We start from the raw sequence: 12145 nt of genomic DNA, 5'->3' as shown, positions 1-12145 counted from the left end.
GGCAGGCTCCCACTCCATTCACTCCCCAAGTCAGCTGAATATGCTCTGACCCAGGTCACCAGGGCCCTCCTTGCTCATGGTAAGTCCAGCGATCCTTTTCTGAACCTTTTATCTCAGGACCTGGAATGTTCTGTGTCCCCCATACACTGCCTGTTAACAGTGTCCTTCGGCTTTTCCTCCAAGTTTCACTGCCCTGGTATGCAGATGATGCTCAATCCCTGCTCAACCCAGGTCTCCCAATGAGCTTTCAGGCATGTATTAATATATCTGCAGGCACCACCCCTGGGAGTCCCTCCTACTCAGCCTGCCACACCTGAAGTCATCATCAACACCCAAACCCATGCCCTCCTCCTGAGCTCCCTACCCTAAGTGGAGACCCCACTACCCATACAGATACACCTGAGACAGAATCTCTGGCAGCTGTCAACTCCTCCCTCTTCCTCATTCCCAAATGGCACGGCCCACTGATTTTGCCTTCTAATCACCCCTAACCTTGTCCCTTGCAGCCACTGCCTCCTGTACCCGCTCCCCTCCCTGCGAATTTTCTGCTATTGTTGCTGGAACCACAGCTATGCTCTCCTTTCACGTCTCCTGGCTACCATCCTGCTCCCTCCAACCCATCTGCCCACTGCTGTCAGGGTGAGCTTTTCAGGATCCAGAACAGAGGAAGGCCATCCTCTCCCTTGTTTAAAACCCTCTGGTGGCTCCCACAGCCCTGTCTGGCCTTCAGGTCCCTGCTGTCCTCTTAGGTCTCATCGCCCGCTTCTCCTGACCTGGCACAGTGCATGGCCCTCCCTGGGATGCCCAGCCTCTGCTCCTCTTGAGACAATGAACGCCTCACCCTGACATGCAGTTGGGGGATCATGTCACCCTGGAGGCTTTCCTGTCTCCTCTCCCAACAAGCTGAGAGCCCTCCTAAGAGGCTCGTGTGTGTCTATCACTGCTCTCCTGCTCATTCCACACGTCTCCCTGGCTGAAGTGCTGAGCGCCACCAGGACTGATTCATCTTGGTGCCGTCAGAGCCCAGCACACAGATGGCCCCAGGATGGGGCTCAATCTATGTTTTGAGAATGAACAACAGTGAGACGACCCAGCCCTTCTACTTCTGCCCACTTGCTCTAAGGATGCAGCCAAAAACACCAATAGTGCTTTATCAGCAAAGACATCCTGATAGCCTGACACCAGGATGGTGGTGCCCAACCCAAGTGCCCAAGCACAGGGAATGGATTAAGGAAATATGGGCCAGTCCCCCTTGGAGGAATATTAGTCATTTATTTCAAAACAGGGCTTAATGAATGTTAAGGGATATGTGAGAATCCTTATAATAATACATTAATTCAAAAAAGCAGAAGGAAAAAAATGTCTCATGTCGTCACCTTTAAAAATTAAGAAACATACCAAAATGACATATACCTTGAGTAGAAGGACAGGGTGTGGAGATTTTATTTTTTAAAAAGCGGGAAGGAGAAGGACTGAGGATGACAGGGACAAAACCAGGGCCTGTTTATGGTCTCTGCTCAGCTTGGGGGCAGAAACACCCCCAGGGCCTGCCCTGTGGACACCAGCCCTGCCCAACTCTGCCTGGTGAGGGAGGAGGCACTCACTTGGCAAAGTTGGCCAGGTTCTGGGTGACCTTGGCGATGAGGGTGAGGGTGCGGGCAGTGCGGTCATCAGGGTACTCCTGCAGCAGGTTGAAGAGTGAGGGCGACATGATGGCTGGGCAGAGGAAGCGCAGGAAGAGGGAGGCGCTGATGAGCCGCTCACTGATGTCCGGGCGGCCGCGACTGCTGCACTCCTGCCTCCACGAGGCAAACACCTCTTTCAACTCCCGTGGGAAGACACTGTGTAGGGACAGACAAAGGTGGGCTTGGCTGTCAGGCAGGGGCCCAGGACAGGAGTGCACAGAGCAGGAACCTGCATTCCAACCTTGGCTCTACCCCGCCAGCTGCGTGAGGTCAGCCCCGCTGTCTGAGCTCTGAGGACACAGCCATCTGGGGAGAGCAGTCAATACAGGGTGGCTGGAGCAAGTGCCCAGGCAGGAGGAGGAGCAGGGAGACCCAGGCTCCCATCGGGCAGTGGGTTCTCAGTGAAGGGCCGGGCAGGTGGGATGGGAGGAGGCATGAGGAGCTGGCTCTCCGTCCTAACCGGAATTAACTGCCAAGGGCCAGTGCTGAACCACCTCTCCAGCTTCTGGTCTGGGCCCTCCCCACCTCTCTGCCAGTGTCTACTTCATTTTTCAACCCAAACAGCAGGCATCTGGGTCTAGGGGGAAGTGAGGAAAACAGGAATAGACCACTATTCCTTGGGTTCCCATCACTGGCTTTGAGACTAATTTCCTTTGCTTGAATAATGTCACAGGAATCCAGGATTTCCTAAAAGCTCAGAAAGATCAAGAAGATGGGACTACCCCTGAACACGGTGGGACAACACAGCTCTCCATTCTCTACATGGGGAGGGAAAGGGAGGTAGTGACTGCCCCAGGGTGATGGAGCAAGCCGGCAGAGCTGGCCCTAGACAATGGGGCTCCTGGTTCCACTGGGCATCCTGGCCTGCCATGGTCAGGCCCACCTGGCCAACCCTTAAGTGGGTTTCCTATCTTTTTTCCCTAAAAGATGCATCTCCCAGCCTGGGGCAGGCCAGGCCCCAGTGGTCCGTGAACTCAGTCTACACTTGGCTCTGCCATGAGCTCAGGGTGATCTGACCAAGGCCCTAGCCCTCCTGGAAGGCTTGGGTTTTCTCTCCCCTAAACTGAGAGCAAGGCCTGCCCTGCCAAGCTCACAGAGCCATCGTAAGGCTAAAACCCCAAGGCTACAACAGGCTTGACCAACTTGAAATTTCTTCCCCCACAGGCCCAGCAGCCTGCTCAGCAGGCTCTCCTGCAATGCATGCTGGCTGACCCATCAAGGGCACACCTAGCGGGGAATGAAGGTGAGCCACCTTTAGCCGTGGCTCTCACAGTGCCTGGCACAGAACTGGACAGGGGGCAGGTGTTGAGTGGTGACATCTATCAATGGCCTTGTCCAGAATGGAGAGGTGCCTCTGATAAATGCCAGAAAGAGGAAATGGAAAATCACTGTCCACAAATATGTTTTCCCTGAGTCACATGCCCAGCCCCCCTGGAAGAGGGGGAGGGGGAAAGCACAGCCCAGCTGGGAATGGGAAGTGTGTTCCCAGAGTTCAAGGCCCTACAGTCGCTCTCCTCCACCGGCCCAGGGGTGTGGAAAGCTGCACATTTGTGGCCCATCTTGAGGTGCCCATTTGGCCCAGGCAAGCACCTTGTATAGCCCAGGGGCTAAGGCCCTGGGTGCCAACCCTCCTGGCCTGCCCATTCCCCCTGCCTTTTCTTGTCCTTGGGGAGCAGCAAACACTTCTCTGGCCTTCCTGTGTGCCCAGTCCTGAGGTGGTGGGCTCACCTGCCCCCAGGGTGCCCCAGCATTCACAGGAAATGTTTTAGGCACAGGCACAACCCTATCCTGATGGGATCAGGGCTGCGACAGAGGGTACCAGGTGTGGCCTCGGAGCAGGAAGGGCAGGAGTGTATGCAGGGGAAGGTGCAGGTGAGTGAAAGAGATGAACCTAACAAGGAGTGAGGTAAGGCCGGGGAGAGAGTGGTGTCAGAACAGGCTGTGGACGGAGGCTTGGGTGGGTGGGGGCTGTAAGCCCTGAGCTGGAGGGGGACACAGGTTAAACCTGGGCAGCTCCTCTGGGGTGAATATGAACCCACTGCTTGGGCTGACAGCAAGGCCCTCCCGCACAGTCCTGTGTGCCACCACAGAACGAGGCTATACTCGGCACCAGGCTGGCTGGCCATCACACACATATATCCCAGGAGCAAGCTGGTGGCCGTGAAGTCGGCCTTACCGCAAGTTTCTCCGGGACTGATTCCGGTCCTGCTGAGGGGCCTGTCTAAGCAGCCCACTGCTGCATGCCCTGCTGCTTTCTGGGGCTGGCAGAGTCTGCAGACCCCGTTCTACTTCAAAGTCTAGTCCTTTCTGTTTATTCTCTAGTCCCAGCAAGAGGCCTGCCTGGTGCTCAGGCCCCCAACGTGCCCCTGCTTGGCCCCATCACAAGGCTGTGACATGAGCACCTTAGCTCCCACGGACAGGTGAGGAGCCTCAGGTGAAGCCATCCGCCCACCCCAAGTGGGGGCCCACACAGGGCCTGCCAGTCTCACTCCCGCTGCAGCCCAAGCACCCACAATAGCCCCCGGCACATGAAGGGCGCTCCCTCATCACCAGAGACGGCAGACTGGCGTGTCCAGGTTCTTTCCATCACAAAACCACAGCAACATGCTGAACGCTGCCCCACCTGAGAGCTCAAAAGGGACTAGGCCAGGGGACTGGCAAGTCAGTACAACTCAGGGGCCAGGCAGCATCAGGCACACTGCGGGTGCCAGACACTGAAGGACAGGATGGGGAAGGCGACAGGGTGGGGAGACCTGGGCACCGCACTGACCAGTAGGAGTTGATGATCTTGCAGAAGGCCAGCTCGCAGCACATCTTGAGGTTGCCCTGGTGCTCTGGGAGGTCAGCGGCCGAGCACTTGCTGGGATCCACTTCGCAGTTCTCATCTGACTCATACAGCGCTTTGATGAACTCACCTATGGACAAGTGGGCAGGGAGTGGGGAGTGAGGACCTGGCGGGCCCTGCCCCACCCTCTGCCCTGCTGCTGGCCCACTCCCTACCTAGGGCGTCCTGCAGGTACTTCTGGCCCACTAGCTTGAGGTACTCCTCAATGGCCTTGGTGGCCAGTGTGTTCTCCCGGAAGATGAGGTGCTCGTTGTCCCCGCAGCGGTCCACCTCTGACATCATCAGGTCTGTCAGGAAGTCCTGGGGAGGCAGGAGGTGGAGAGAGCAGGACCTGAGCTGGCCTGGCATGGAGGGCCCTAGGATTCCAGACCTAGCCAGAGAAGTCCTGGCATTTTGAGGCTGTTCCATCACCAAGCTGCGGGGGTCCCGGAGAGGAACAGTGTGCCCACCTTTGGGGGCTGCTGGGGAGTGTGGGCAGGGCAGGGGCCCCCAGCCAGGGTAGGAGCCTAGAACTGGTGACAGTAGAGCCGGGTCTATGGATGGAGGCAGCCTGAATGAGAGCATGCCACGTGGAGCCACAAGCCCCCACCACCACAGAGAATGGACTCATTTCCATGTACAGCCCTGATCAGGCCTGGCCTGGTGACCACAGCAGGACTCGCCTCTCCCCGCACCATCAGTGCCAAAGAGGACAAATGAGGCTGCCCTGTCTCATGGTAAGAATGGCCATCAGTATCCACCTATGACTCTGGTGGGGGCTCCCACACCAGACACAGATGCCTTCTGTGCAGCCCCACTGCCCGGGGAGGTCGTGAGCCACCATGCTCAGGCAGGTGAGAGCAGGAAGTGATGTGCAACTGGCTGGAGAGGGAAGGTGGAGGCGCCACTGCCCACCTGGCAATCCAGGGTAGCAGCCCCAGGCCCATCAGGTCCCACACACAGTGTTGTGGGAAAACCCCAGCACAGGAGCCCGAACCCACACCTTCCCCCTACTCTAGCAACCATGCAGATACTAACACCCTCCCTCAGAAGCCCCCACCTCCTTGTGCTCACAACTAACCTGTGGCTTGGGGGAGGGGAAGAAAATAGGAAAAACTGTCATAGTTTCAAGGGAGGGTGACAGTCAGGGCAGGGGGCCACCTAGCACAGAGCCTGCAAGGTGCCCAGGAGGGGTGGACCCAGGCATCTGTGCTCAAGAAATTCCTCACTCCGACATGCACGACCTTGGGGTCCTTTAAAACAGAACTGAGATCTAGACACAGGAACCCAGGGTGCACAGCAGAGGCACAGAGGGACAGCAGGGGCAAAGGGGAAGCTGTCATTGGCTTCCTGGGGATCATGTGGCCTGAGGACCCCTTCCTGACCAGCAGGCGACCTCCAGGGTCTCATTCTCTGAATACACTAAAGCGGGGGTCAGAGGTGCATCTCCCCCGGGGCTCCTCCAGGGCTCCCGCTCAGGACTGCAGCCTTCCTGAACTCCCGCAATGAGAGCCAGGCCCCAGTGCTGGGATGAGAACTTCCTGAGAGCCAGGACCCAATAAGGGGGAAACCAATGCACACACAGCAGGAAAATGACTTGTCCAAGGCCACACAGCCACCTGGGGCCAGATCTGGTCCAAGTCCCTTGCTTCCCAGACTCCGTTACTCCTCTAGCCGTGGAGACGGAAGAGGGGCTAGTTCCCAAGTATTCCAGGGGTGGGGGCTTAGGTACCTGTCACCCCAGCAGCACAAGTTACTTTCTATGCTTCTATCTACTGCTCCCCAATCCCACTGAGGGCCTTTGGGGTTGGCTGCAGCCCTGACTTCACCTCCCTCCACGAGCACCTGGACATACCTATCATTTCAGGCTGCTTCAGGGAGGAATCCGCTTCCCAGGCCAGCCCCAGCCCAGCCCTGGGAACCAGGTACTGAAACATCAGACACAACTGCAGAAAATAATGCAGCCTCTGCAGCCCCCATCACTCCCTCTCTGGTGCCCATGGGTCCTTGATTCATTCCGTTTCCCAGCATACGTCCCCAGTGTTGACCAGCATGTTAAGGACGGGGCAGCCAGAGCTGGCCCAACGTGCAGCCTAGCCAGCCAAGTCTGAAGGCTGGGGGAGAAGGTGAGGGAGGAGGTAGCTGAGCACTACAGAGGAAAACTGCTCCCCATCGCGGGTCCATGGGGAGGAGGTCCCCGCCCCAGCCCTGCACTTGCAGCATACAGCAAGTGCAAGAGGGAGGGGGGCTGCAGAGGCTGCTGAGGCTTCCAGCCATGGCCTCCCCTTCCAGGGCCTCTAGGAACAGGTGAGAGGGTGAGGGACCTCCACGAGTCTTGTGCCCTGGACTCTGCCCTGGGGTATGGCTCCCAACTGTGCCTCCCCGACCCAGAGCTAAGGGCCTAGGACCTTGACACAGGGTGCCCCTCAGCCACCTGCCACTTGGCTCACAACACGCCACTGTCCAGAGGGCAGAGGCCCAGTCCTTAGCCCAGCACCAGGGTCCATCCACGCTGCAGAGGCCTCAAGTCCAGCCCCTTTTTCCCACCCTCTTTGGCCAGCTTCCTGAATGGCAGGTGGCAAATGTAAAGAGAGAAGGTCGCCTTCGAGGCCCACAGACCATGCTCTACTGCCTTCCTAGGGGCACCCTGGTCCAGGAGCCCATTTGTCCCCAAACCGGGTAGGTGGGGCTGAGGCACGGCTTGCATGGTGGGCTGCTGGGCCCATCTTCGGGAGCGGAAGGTGAAAGGGGTCATGGAGATGGACATTGAGCACCTCTGGCCCTGAACTAGGACTTGCCTGGGTGGGTCTCAGACGATTCCCGCTTCTGTGAGGCTCTGGGGTGGGGCTGGCTAACCCTCGAATAGTACAATTTTGACTGTGTCTACCTGTGTGACAATCTGTGTGTCTGGGTGAGAGTGTGGGGTGAGGTAGAGCTGTGAGGGAGGCTCATCTGTGCATCGTGCTGGGGAGGTCTGCCGAACTCCATACCCCACAGGGGACGTGTGTTTGGCTCACTGCGGCTGGTGGCGTTGTGGGACCTGTGTGCTGGGAGAGCCGTGGCCACCCAGCCTGTTCCCCTGGCGCCTCAGGGGGTCGGTCCTCTGCAGCAGTGGTGGAAGGCACCTCAACCCAAGCCCACTCCCTCACTACCAGCTGCAATCCCATCCACTGGCTCCACACAGGCCTCAGTGATCAGCTCCAGCCACAGAGCAGGAGTACAAAACCCCCAGCCCACGATAGAACTTTTGGGTTTAGGGAGCCCTTCTGGTAGTGACCGGTGCCTCCAAGGCCTCTGTTAGGCCTGAAATGTACGGATGTGAGGAAGGGCAGGTAACCCAGTGCTGCCGCCCAGCCTGTGTCAGGAGCCGAGGGGCCTGCACGCACCTTCACCTTGCCCGTGCTCTGCAGGATGTGCACCAGGGCAGATGCCATCTCCTCCTTGGTCTTGGCACTGAGGATGGGCTCGAGGGCTGCACACAGCCCCAGGTAGTGGTTGGTGATGTGCTCAGCGAACTCTTTGTACATCTCCATGGGCAGGATGGTGATGGTTTGGTAGCGCGCCTTGATGCGGATCATGGGTCCAGGGCCCTTGCCGCCCTTGGGGTTGGGCGTCACCACCGGGTACCACTTCTCCACGAACTGCCGCCCGGCCACCGAGGCAGCAGGTAGGCTCACCAGGCCCAGGTAACTGTTGCGCTCCTTCTTCTTCTTCTTGTCGGTCTCCCGGTACAGGTGGACAGTGACCGTGCGCAGAGGCGGCAAGTTGTGGAACTCGAAGTGCTCGCCCCAGAAAACATTGTCCGTCTTGAGCTTGCCCGTGGTGCGGGCATAGAGCACATCGTCCAGGCACAGCTCGCACAGGTACTTCTTCTTGGCTGGCAGGTCCTTGGCCTCGATCACCCACAGCTTCAGGATGTGCTCCACACGCCGGCTGTTGTCCTGTATGTGCACGGGGGTCCAGGGTGGTCAGCTGGGGGTGCCACGTGCAACCCCCAACCAGCCCAGAGCCTGAGAGAGTCCTCAGACCCAGGAGGAGCTCTGAAGGTGGAGGCGGCAGCGGGCGCCTAGGCCCTAAGTCAGGATGAGGCAGGGCATGATGGACAAGGGCTGGATCTCTGGTCGACCTCACAGAAGCTCACTCACCTTGGGCAAGCAACTTAACTGGAGCCTTGGGTTGCTTGTCTATGAAACGGCACTAAGGTAAAACCCCCATCTCATAGAGGGCGAGACTGAGAGAGGCCAGCACAACGCCTGACACGTCACAGGCTATGCCATTATTAACTCTTCCTTAATATGCTGGTCTGTACTGTAACTTAAGAGATGGCTATGGTGACCAGGACTTGGTCAAGCCCTCAAGTCGGCTAGGGAGACAGATACAGAAGCAGGGATTACAGTGGGGGCTCCCAGGACCTAATGGGGGAGCCCAGGGGCAGTGGGAACACAGAGGGCACCAGCCTGGGACAGGGGTCCTCACCTGGAGGAGGGGCAGACATCTAAGGTGGAAGGGGAAGATGAGCAGAACTCAGCCAGGGGCTGGGGAGTAGGGACAAGGGGTCCCAGCAGAAGGACCCCAGGGTCCAGCACTCATTTCCCCAAGCCCAGCCTCAATGTGTAGCTTAGAAAACAGAGGCACACAGCACCTGTCTCAACCTGGTCAACTCAAACGTCTCTTTCAGAGTCCACCAATATTGTCCACTCGGGCCCTGCCTCCATGCAGGCTGACCACCCCCAATCCCAGCCCACACCACAGAGATAGTCTCTCTTGTTTCCTCCTATCTGAGCCTACCTTCAATCCCCCATGCTTTGGTGAGAGGGGCGCAGGCTTACCTTGTTGGGATGCACCGCTCGCCGGAGGTTCTCCATCCACTTATCCCGCTCAGCTGCAGACCGGCAGGAAAAGCACTTGCTTCCTGATGACGTCGTCACCTGTGGGGAGCAGGCAAGACAGTGTTATGAGGGAAGGGACCACAGCAAGGGCAGGCAGTGATGGAAGAAGACCTTGGAGGCTCAGGGGACTCTGGCCATCAGGTCTGCATCACAGCTTCAGGAAGGAGCCAGGACAAGGCTCATATGACGCCTCTACTTCATGTTTTGCAGGTGGTACACTTGAGAGCCACTGTCCCAGGGCAAGTCAGCAGCCGGAGAGTGGCCCCATCCTGCACGAGCAGGCTCCTCACTCGTCCCTCAGTGCCCTCTGTCCAATAGGAAAGCATCTTCCTAACTCTAACCTCCCTCTCCCTGAGATGGGAAGAGGGAATGAACGAAGACCTTGCCCAGGTCAGAGGGCAATGCTTAACCCGAGCGTACTTTCCCTAAAGGCGGAACCACAAGAACCAAGGAGACAACTAAAGGTAGGTACCAGAATCCCCTCAGTCCTCAGCTGACAACTCTGAGGGTTCTCTTCCGTCAAGCAGCAGTGACAACAATGGTAATATAAGCCTGATATTTTTTATGCCAGACTGGAGAAATGAGACTCGGACTGTCTGGATGTGCCAGGCCCTAGGGTCCCCAGTCCCTGACCCTTCTCCTTCCCTCTCTGTCTGACTCTCACTCAACCTCTGGTCCAGCTTAGACATCTCCTGCCAGGTAAGGGAGCCAGTCCGGGCAATTCCTGCTGTGTGTTTCCACTGTCCCCAGCAGCAGACCCGGGTCTCTGCAGGGGAAGCACACTCCTCACACGGCATTCGAGGGCCTGCACCCTCCACAGAACCCCCTGCTGTGAACCAGCAGACAGGGCCATCTTCACCCTATCCCTGGCAAGGAAGTCAGAACCCAGATCAAGCCTGGCTTGGCCAGGAGTCCTGAACCAGAAATGGTCCCCAGTGGGCACAGGGTATGGGGCAGGTGCCAGGCACCATTCTGTTTTTTCCCCAGGGCTGGGGGTGCCAGGAGATTGTCACACTAGTCCCCAAGTGGCTGCTTTTCATTACCAGGCTCATTCCTCTACAAGAGAGCTCTCCTAGTTATGCATGATTATTGGGGGTAGGAATCTTCCCAGAAACTGGTAGGAAGCAATATGAATAACTGCAGAAGCAATTAGTAACTCCCAGGAACACCTGCAACAATAGTAACCCTGCTCCCGGCTTGGTCTCAGCCTTGCTGTGTGACCTCTGATGTCTTTGTGCCTTCTCTGGGCCTCAGATCCCCCATTTCCTATGAGGGACTGGACAGGTCATCCCCAGGTGGGTCACTGGCTCTCTGCATTCAAACCTCAGGTCGCAGAATGCCAGGGCAGGACAGATTTGGGCTCTCATTGTTCACAGTGGGAAACAGGCCCAGACAAGGGGAGACTCTCTGCTATCCACACTGCATTTGGGAGGTGAGCAGGCTCTAAGACATGGGCTCTGGTGCTTAAGAAATTCAGGCTTTTCCCCTACTCACTGTCATCCACTGGGGGCCCCAGCAGCTTCAGGCTAGCATGGAGAACAGGTGCTGGCCCATTTCCAGAGAACCTAGAGAGTAGGAAGGACAGCCTCCACCCCAGCTCCACCAGGTCTCTTAGGAGCTGAAAGCTATCGGTAACTACTAGCCACTGTCCCCAAGACCCTGGCCCCTGCTGAGGCCACAGCAGACTGGACTCCAGGAGGATGTCTGGAGGAGACCAGCCAGGCCAGGAGAGGATGGGGTGTCCACCCCAACCCCTGTGATGGGACCCACCTCGAAGCAGTAGTCCTGGCCAAGGATGCTGCTGTGCACGGGCTTGATGACCACCTCTTCCTCCATGCTGAGGTCCAGCGCCTCCACCGCACTGCTGGGGCTGAGCAGGGACTCGTGGGAGCGAGACTCCTTCAGCCTCGGCATCAGATGGGACCTGGGGTGGCAGTAGGTGTGTCAGGTGGGCCCCCACAGCCCGGGTCAAGCTGGTTGCCATGTCCCACCCATCTGCCCTGGCCGTGCCCCTTCCAGCAGGCAGCCACTCCTCTCCACTCTCTCTCCTTTCTGTCTTAAGACAGATCTGGGGGCAGGGCTGTCACAGAGACTGGTGGGAACCTCCTCCCGACTGCAAGAGTCTGGCTGGGGGCTCAGCCTCTCAGAGAGCAAGAAGGTGAGGATTAGGCGCCACTCCGGGGTTAATATTTGCAAGTGAGCCTGCGGGGCCTGGGCCAGCTTGGCTCCTGAGAAGTCTCAGAGACCCAAGGAAAGCCCGCCTGACCCAGGCAGCTGTCTGCAGTTCTGGGCGCTTTCCCATTTCCCCTCTCTTTTGCACTGGTCCTTGTCCAAGACTGAGCAGTCACTCTGCCCCAACATTTATCCAGCATACCACTGCCAACAGCCCTTCCTCATACACTGTCCCACACCAGCAGACCCACACGAGGGAAAGCCACAGGGACCCTGCTGCTCCCATCTTACAGATGAGGACAGCGAGGCGAGGCGAGTCTCGAAGCAGAAGGGATGCAGCAGTCTCTGCACAGTACCCAAGACACACACTCCATCGGGGTCCCCATGCTGGGACTCAGGGCCCAGGTCAGTGGCTCCGACACAGGCACAAAGAGCACAGGGCTGATGCCACCCGGCACCCAAACGCAGACCAGACCTGGGCCCGCTGCTCCCCTGCTGTGTGGCCCTGGGGAAATCGTTCTCCTCTGAGCCTGTTTCCTCAGTGCATCACAGGGAAAGCACCGCAGATGACACCT

At 58.0% G+C, this 12145-nt stretch overlaps 1 protein-coding gene across 3 annotated transcripts in view, besides 1 other annotated feature; it reads right to left on the bottom strand.

The window, feature by feature from the left end:
- The window catches only part of DAB2IP (DAB2 interacting protein), a 218457-nt gene that overhangs the window by 17196 nt on the left and 189116 nt on the right, over positions 1–12145 (bottom strand). For all 3 annotated transcript variants that reach the window (NM_032552.4, NM_001395010.1, NM_138709.2), the window contains 6 exons: positions 11169–11322; positions 9339–9437; positions 7896–8450; positions 4686–4830; positions 4456–4600; positions 1605–1841 (listed from right to left, as the gene is read on the bottom strand). In NM_032552.4, the coding sequence (NP_115941.2) occupies positions 1605–1841; positions 4456–4600; positions 4686–4830; positions 7896–8450; positions 9339–9437; positions 11169–11322 (1335 nt within the window). The remainder of the gene's footprint in view (positions 1–1604; positions 1842–4455; positions 4601–4685; positions 4831–7895; positions 8451–9338; positions 9438–11168; positions 11323–12145) is intronic.
- Positions 4311–4605: a silencer, noted in NCBI's record as "tiled region #3775; K562 Repressive non-DNase unmatched - State 21:Repr". NCBI's record gives its function as "represses a minimal TATA promoter and a strong SV40 promoter by Sharpr-MPRA in K562 cells {active_cell/tissue: K562}" and the evidence as "EXISTENCE:reporter gene assay evidence [ECO:0000049][PMID:27701403]".

This window comes from Homo sapiens, chromosome 9 (genome assembly GCF_000001405.40).
Source record: "Homo sapiens chromosome 9, GRCh38.p14 Primary Assembly".
Taxonomy (NCBI): domain Eukaryota; kingdom Metazoa; phylum Chordata; class Mammalia; order Primates; family Hominidae; genus Homo; species Homo sapiens.
This window is presented reverse-complemented; position numbering and strand designations above follow the sequence as displayed.